Raw genomic sequence first — 7,428 nt, forward strand, 5'->3', positions numbered from 1 at the left:
CTCAGTTTCCCTTCTGTGATTAGAGAGGTGGACCCTGTGATTCTGGAAGACCTTCTGAGCCATAAGGTCATGAAACGATAGTGAACAATACACAGTGAACTTACAGGCTATGTGGAAAGGTATGGACTACTGGCACCCCAAAACTCACCCAAATGCCTTCCCTCCAGCCTGCAGTTTTGGGTTAACGTACATTTTGCACATCTTTTATTGTAATCATTTATTGAACGACTTCTTTTCAAAAGACTGTCACATATATTATCATTGTCATAACAACTCTGCAAGGTAGATATTATGTACTCCATTGTATGGGTAAGGAGACGGAGGCTCAGGGAGCTTACAGTCAATAAGTGACAGGACCCAGACTCTCTGGGTGCATAGCCACATGGGGTCTCCCCCAAACAGGCAGAGACAGCCTGAGGACCCAGAACACCCTGGCAGGAAGTCCTGCATTGATGGCGTATGGAAGGCACATTTCATCATCCTCCAACAGCAGGATTTCTGGCCCATCCATGATGACACACTTCTGCCCAGCAGACACAGAAGCAGATATAATCCTCCCCAAAACTCCTCAGGGTGGACATTATTATTATTATTATTATTGGTTTTGTTGTTGTTAAGACAGGGTTTCCTGTTGCCCAGGCTGGAGTGCAGAGGTGTGATCACAGCTCACTGTAGCCTTGACCTTCTGGGCTCAAGTGATCTCCCTGCCTCAGCCTCCTGAATAGCTGGAACTACAGGCACATGCTTCCCTGCCTGGCTACATTTTATACTTTTTTTTTTTTTTTTTTGCGACAGAGTCTTACTCTGCTGCCCAGGCTAGAGTGCAATGGCACGATCTTGGCTCACTGCAACCTCCGCCTCAAGGGTTCAAGCAATTCTCCTGCCTCAGCCTCCCAAGAAGCTGGAATTACAGGCGTGCGCCACCACGCACAGCTAATTTTTGTATTTTCAATAGAGACCAGGTTTTACCATGGTGGCCAGGCTGGTCTCAAACCTCTGACCTCATGTGATCTGCCCACCTCAGCCTCCCAAAGTCCTGGGTTTACAGGCGTGAGCCATTGTGCCTGATGTTATACCTGATTTTTACAATTTCCTTATTTTTTGTTTTACACACTTTTTTTTTTTTGAGCTGGAGTCTCGCTCTATCAGCCCAGGCTGGAGTGCAATGGCACAATCTCGGCTCACTGCAACCTCTGCCTCCCGTTTTTAAGTGATTCTCCTGCCTCAGCCTCCTGAATAGCTGGGATTACAGGTGTACACCACCATGCCCGGCTAATTTTTATATATTTAGTGGAGATGGGGTTTCACCATGTTGGCCAGGCTGGTCTCGAACTCCTAACCTCAAGGGATCCACCTGCCTTGGCCTCCCAGAGTGCTGGGATTACAAGCATGAGCCACCGTACCCGGCTGTTTTTACAAACTTTTTAAAATGGAAAAATACAGAACACGTCACAAATTTTCGTGTCATTCTTGTGCAGGGTCTATGGCATTCTTCTGTATATGGGTCCTATTTTAGTATACGTGCTGCCGAAGCAAGCACACAGTCTGATTTTTGATGTAATATATCATGAAAATACTCCCATGGCATTAAATCTTCCACAACATCATTTTATGTGGCTGCATGGTATTCCATTGTATTGTTTTATTGTAGTTTCTTTACTTTTTTTTTTTTTTTTTGAGACGGAGTCTCGCTCTGTCACCCAGGCTGGAGTGCAGTGGCGTGATCTCGGCTCACTGCAAGCTCTGCCTCCCGGGTTCACGCCATTCTCCCGCCCCAGCCTCCCAAGTAGCTGGGACTACAGGCGCCCGCCACCACGCCCGGGTAATTTTTTGTATTTTTAGTAGAGACGGGGTTTCACTGTGTTAGCCAGGATGGTCTCGATCTCCTGACCTCATGATCCACCCGCCTTGGCCTCCCAAAGTGCTGTGATTACAGGCGTGCACCACCACGCCCAGCCGTAGTTTCTTTACTTGATGCTCTTTTGACGGATGCGTCAGTTGTTTCCAATTTTTTTTTTTTTTTTTTTTTTTTGAGATGGAGTCTTGCTCTGTCTCCCAGGCTGGAGTGCAGTGGCGTGATCTCGGCTCACCGCAAGCTCCGACTCCCGGGTTCACGTCATTCTCCTGCCTCAGCCTCTGGAGTAGCTGGGACTACAGGCGCCCACTACCACGCCCGGCTAATTTTTTATATTTTTAGTAGAGACGGGGTTTCACTGTGTTAGCCAGGATGGTCTCGATCTCCTGACCTTGTGATCCGCCTGCCTCGGCCTCCCAAAGTGCTAGGATTACAGGCGTGAGCCACCGTGCCCGGCCCAATTTTTCCATTTTAAATAATGCTGTGGGCTAGGTGCAGTGGCTCACACCTGTAATCCCAGCACTTCGGGAGGCCGAGGCAGGCAGATCTCCTGAGGTCAGGAGTTTGAGACCAGCCTGACCAACATGGAGAGAAACCCCGGTCTCTCCAAAAAAAAAAAAAAAAAAAAAAAAAAAATTAGCCAGGCGTGGTGGCACACACCTGTAATCCCAGTTACTCGGGAGGCTGAGGCAGGAGAATTGCTTGAATCCAGGAGGCGGAGGTTGTGGTGAGCTGATATCAAGCCATTGCACTCCAGCCTGGGCAACAAGAGCGAAACTCTGGAAAGAAAGAAAGAAAAGGAAGGAAGGAAGGAAGGAAGGAAGGAAGGAAGGAAGGAAGGAAGGAAGGAAGGAAGGAAGGAAGGGCGGGCAAGCAAATTGTGATGCACATTCTCTTTCTTTTTTTTTTGGATGGTGTCTTGCTCTGTTGCCCAGGCTGGAGTGCAGTGACTCCATCTTGGCTCACTGCAACCTCTGCCTCCTGGGTTCAAGCAATTCTCCTGCCTCAGCCTCCCAAGTAGCTGGGATTACAGGTGTGCACCACCACGCCTGGCTAATTTTTGTATTTTTAGTAGAGATGGGGTTTCACCATGTTGGCCAGGCTGGTCTTAAACTCCCAAAGTGCTGAGATTACAGGCGTGAGCCACCGCGCCCGGCCCATGTGATGCACATTCTTATAGGTAAATCTTGGCATGCGTCAATGACTGTATTATTTTCTCAGGATGAGTTCTCAGAAGTGGAGCTGCTTTGTCAAAGGGTGTACATAACTTCAAGGCTTTTGAGGGTATTTTCTGATCCAGTGAAGGACACCACTACCCAGTTGTCCAAGTCAGAAGCATCAGGTAATGTTAAGTCCAAGAGAATAAGGCTAATTAATGAAAGAATGGGCCACACAACCCATTCTCTACCAGGGGGTATGCAGAGGAGAGAAGTTACCAGGCTCTGAAGATTGTCAGCCACTGGGGAGATACTATGAGGGTCTTTCCTGGAAACCAGAGGAATACTTTTGCCCCCTGCCTACCTGGTCCTCCCCGGAAGCCACAAGTGCTCCACATAGCATCCCTGGGCAACTCCTTTCCTGCTGCCCAAGCAAGCAAGGTGCCAGTTCCGCAGGATCCAGCCAGCTGCAACTGACCCTGAGCCAACTCCCACAGCCCTGAGTGGGTCAGCTTTGCTTATGAAGCAGGACCCTGGCACCTCCCCAGGGGGTCCAGCTTCCCTTCCCCCAGCCCCCAGCCTTGAGGGAGAAGCAATTGGGATAGGCTTGGGGAGGTGGGTGTCGGATCAGGGGTGTAAAGGATAGAGGAGCTGAATGTCTCTGTCCTCAGGGAGATCTTGAGATGACTCACATGCCACTGGAGGGGAGAGAGAAGCTGAGGGATGAATGGATTGCAAACTAGAGGGAGGGGCCGAGCTTCCGTGCCTTGATTCGCCCGCGTCAGTTGCTTCAACAACATCTGCAGTGCGTGGGGTTGAGCGATCCCACTGGTGGGGCTGGGGTGGGTAGGGCTTCCAGGCTGGCTGACGTTTGCTTCCCGCCCGCTGGGCCAGCCTGGAGCAGTTCATGAATGACTCACCTCATTGTCAGGCTGATTCACTGCTCGGCTGGGTACTTGGGTAGGGGGGCGGCCCCCTAGGTACGGCTCACACCCACACACATGCGCACATACACATGTACGCACACGCCCAGGTGGGGCTCCACTGGGGTCGGACACGAGGGATGGGATTTCTGTGGTAAGAGGCAGGGGCATGCACACCATCTAGTGTGTGAATAACCTTGAAGTTTCAGTCTGTGGTGTACTAGTGTTTATTCACATTTAAATTAATTAAAATTAAACACAATTAAAACTTCAGTTTCTTAGCTGCAGTAGCCACATTTCAAGTGCTTAATAGACACACATGGTCAGTGGCTACTCTGTTGGGCAGTGTGAATAGAAAACATTTCCATCAACACAGAAAGTTCTATCGGACAGCTCTGGTTTACATAGCTGCCTACACACCAACTCAGAATCCACAACCTTCGCACACAAAGCTACACAAACAGATCAGTCCTCCCCGCCCCCATAGGCAGCAAACAACACACATTTAATTCCATACACGTATTCAACGGGCAATACCCAATCACCTACACAAGATTCTCAGCGTGTACACACACTTCCTATCCAAATATGCCACCGTCCATACCAAGGCAAATGTAAAGATAAACACATAAAAAAAAGTATGTCATCACACTGACTCGAATACAACTGTTTGTTCGATAAAAATACAAATTAGGGGCCAGCCGCGGTGGCTCATGCCTGTAATCCCAGCATTTTAGGAGACCAAGGCAGGCAGATCACCTGAGGTTGAGAGGTTGAGATCAGCCTTGCTAACAATGGTGAAACCCCGTTTCTACTAAATATACAAAATTAGTTGGGTGTGGTGGCCCACACCTGTAATCCCAGCTACTTGGGAGGCTGAGGCAGGAGAATCACTTGAATCCGGGAGGTGGAGGTTGCAGTGAGCTGGGATCCCACCACTGCACTCCAGCGTGGGCGACAGAGTGAGACTCCGTCTCCAAAAAAACAACAACAAAAAAAACAAATTAGGGTGAAATGCATTTGCAAGTATACTGAAATAGATACAAACCCAAGCCATGTGGTTCCCATAACAATTCCCAGCACGTGTTTGCAAATTCAAGTAAGGGGGAAGGGAATCCACATTTGTTGAGGTCCTGTTAATAGGCCAGGCATGGCGTTAGCCATTTCAATGCATTAATTCATTTAATCTCACAACAACCTTGTGAGGAAGATGTATTATTCTTTTTTTTTTTTGAGACGGAGTCTTGCTCTGTCTCCCAGGCTGGAGTGCGGTGGCGCGATCTCGGCTCACTGCAAGCTCCGCCTCCCGGGTTCAAGCGATTCTCCTGCCTCAGCCTCCCAAGTAGCTGGGACTACAGGCGCCTGCCACCACGCCTGGCTAATTTTTTGTATTTTTAGTAGAGACAGGGTTTCACTGTGTTAGCCAGGATGGTCTCGATCTCCTGACCTCGTGGTCCGCCTGCCTTGGTCCCCCAAAGTGCTGGGATTACAGGCGTGAGCCACCGCGCCCGGCTGGAAGATGTATTATTCTTTATTTTTTAATTTTTTTTTTGCGACAGAATCTCACTTTGTTGCCCAGGCTGGAATGCAGTGGCATGATCCCAGCTCACTGCAACCTCCGCCTCCCAGGTTTAAGCCATTCTCCTGCCTCAGTCCCCTGAGTAGCTGGGATTACAGGCGCCCGCCACCATGCCCGGCTAATTTCTTTTTTTTTTTTTTTTAGACGGAGTCTTGCTTTGTTGCCCAGGCTGGAGTGCAGTGGCGTGATCTCGGCTCACTGCAAGCTCCGCCTTCCGGGTTCATGCCATTCTCCTGCCTCAGCTTCCCAAGTAGCTGGGACTACAGGCGCCCGCCACCACACCCGGCTAATTTTTTTGTATTTTTAGTAGAGACGGGGTTTCACCATGTTAGCCAGGATGGTCTCGATCTCCTGCCCTTGTGATCCGCCCGCCTCTGCCTCCCAAAGTGCTGAGATTACAGGCAAGAGCCACCGCGGAAGTGAGCATTGAGTTGCCCAGCCATTCGCACTCCCTCCTGACAAATGGCATCAAGTCATTCAACAAACACTTGTTCAGCCTGGGCAACATAGGGAGCCTTCATCTCTACAACAAATAAACATAAAAAAATTAGCTGGGCTTAGGCCAGGCACAGTGGCTCACGTTTATAATCCCAGCACTTCGGGAGGCCAATGCGGGTGGATCACGAGGTCAGGTGTTCAAGACCAGCCTGGGCAACATAGTGAAACCCTGTCTCTACTAAAAATACAAAAAGTTAGCTGGGCGTGGCTGGGCGCAGTGGTTCACGTCTGTAATCCCAGCACTTTGGGAGGCAGAGGCGGGCAGATTACCTGAGGTCAGGAGTTCGAGACCATCCTGGCCAACATGGTGAAACCCTGTCTCTACTAAAAATACAAAAAATTAGCTGGGCGTGGCTGGGCGCAGTGGCTCACGTCTGTAATCCCAGCACTTTGGGAGGCAGAGGCGGGCAGATTACCTGAGGTCAGGAGTTCGAGACCAGCCTGGCCAACATGGTGAAACCCTGTCTCTACTAAAAATACAAAAATTAGCCAGGCATGATGGCACATGCCTGTTATCCCAGCTACTCGGGAGGCTGAGGCAGGAGAATTGCTTGAGCCTAGGAGGAAGAGGTTGCAGTGAGCCGAGATCATGCCACTGCACTGCAGCCTGTCCTGCAGAGCGAGACTGTCTCAAAAAAAAAAAAAAAAAAAAAAAATTAGCCGGGCGTGGTGGCGGGCACTTGTAATCCCAGCTACTTGGTAGGCTGAAGCAGGAGAATCGCTTGAACCTGAGAGGCAGAGGTTGCAGTGAGCCAAGATCGTGCCACTGCACTCCAGCCTGGGCAACAATGTGAGACTCCGTGTCAAAAAAAAAAAAAGTTAACTGGGTTTGGTGGTGTGTGCCTGTGATCCCAGCTACTCAGGAGGCTGAGGTGGGAGGACTGCTTGGGCCCAAGAGGTGGAGGATGCAGTGAGCCATGACTGTGCCGCTGCACTCCGGGCTGGGTAAGGGAGTAAAGTAAGTCTCAAAACAAAAACAAACTCATTTTCTGAGTGTCTTCAATGTGCCACATGCTGGTTCACAAAGGTGAAAAGCCACAGTCTTGCTCTGAAGCAGTATTAAGTCAAGCAGGGAGGCCGGGCGCCATGGCTTACGCCTGTAATCCCAGCTACTTCGAAGGCTGAGGCAGGAGAATCGCTTGAACCCGGGAGGCGGAGGTTGCAGTGAGCCGAGATCGCGCCACTGCACTCCAGCCTGGGCGACAGAGCGAGATTCGGTTTAAAAAAGAAAAAAAAAAAAGAACGGAAAAGAAAGGGGCGGGGGCAGGATTAGGCATCGTGGGGCCAAGATGCTTGATCTCACCTGAACCAGTGCTGAACCAGCCGACTGGGAAGAGGAGCCGCTTGGGGGCGACCGAGAGCCCATCCGTTTCCCCTTTAAGACCAGAGCGGAAGACTACAGTGAGAAGGCCCTTT

General features: G+C 50.1%; 1 pseudogene, besides 2 other annotated features; it reads right to left on the reverse strand.

Moving 5' to 3' along the window:
* On the reverse strand, positions 1,434 to 1,540 carry RNU6-131P (RNA, U6 small nuclear 131, pseudogene; annotated as a pseudogene).
* Positions 3,510 to 4,033: an enhancer, noted in NCBI's record as "H3K27ac-H3K4me1 hESC enhancer chr17:42215327-42215850 (GRCh37/hg19 assembly coordinates)". NCBI's record gives its function as "activates a minimal SCP1, AML or CMV promoter by ChIP-STARR-seq in naive and primed H9 embryonic stem cells {active_cell/tissue: H9 hESC(naive and primed)}" and the evidence as "EXISTENCE:reporter gene assay evidence [ECO:0000049][PMID:30033119]".
* Positions 7,236 to 7,405: an enhancer, noted in NCBI's record as "active region_12253". NCBI's record gives its function as "activates an Ori minimal core promoter by ATAC-STARR-seq in GM12878 lymphoblastoid cells {active_cell/tissue: GM12878}" and the evidence as "EXISTENCE:reporter gene assay evidence [ECO:0000049][PMID:35858748]".

Source organism: Homo sapiens, chromosome 17 (genome assembly GCF_000001405.40).
Source record: "Homo sapiens chromosome 17, GRCh38.p14 Primary Assembly".
Lineage (NCBI taxonomy): Eukaryota > Metazoa > Chordata > Mammalia > Primates > Hominidae > Homo > Homo sapiens.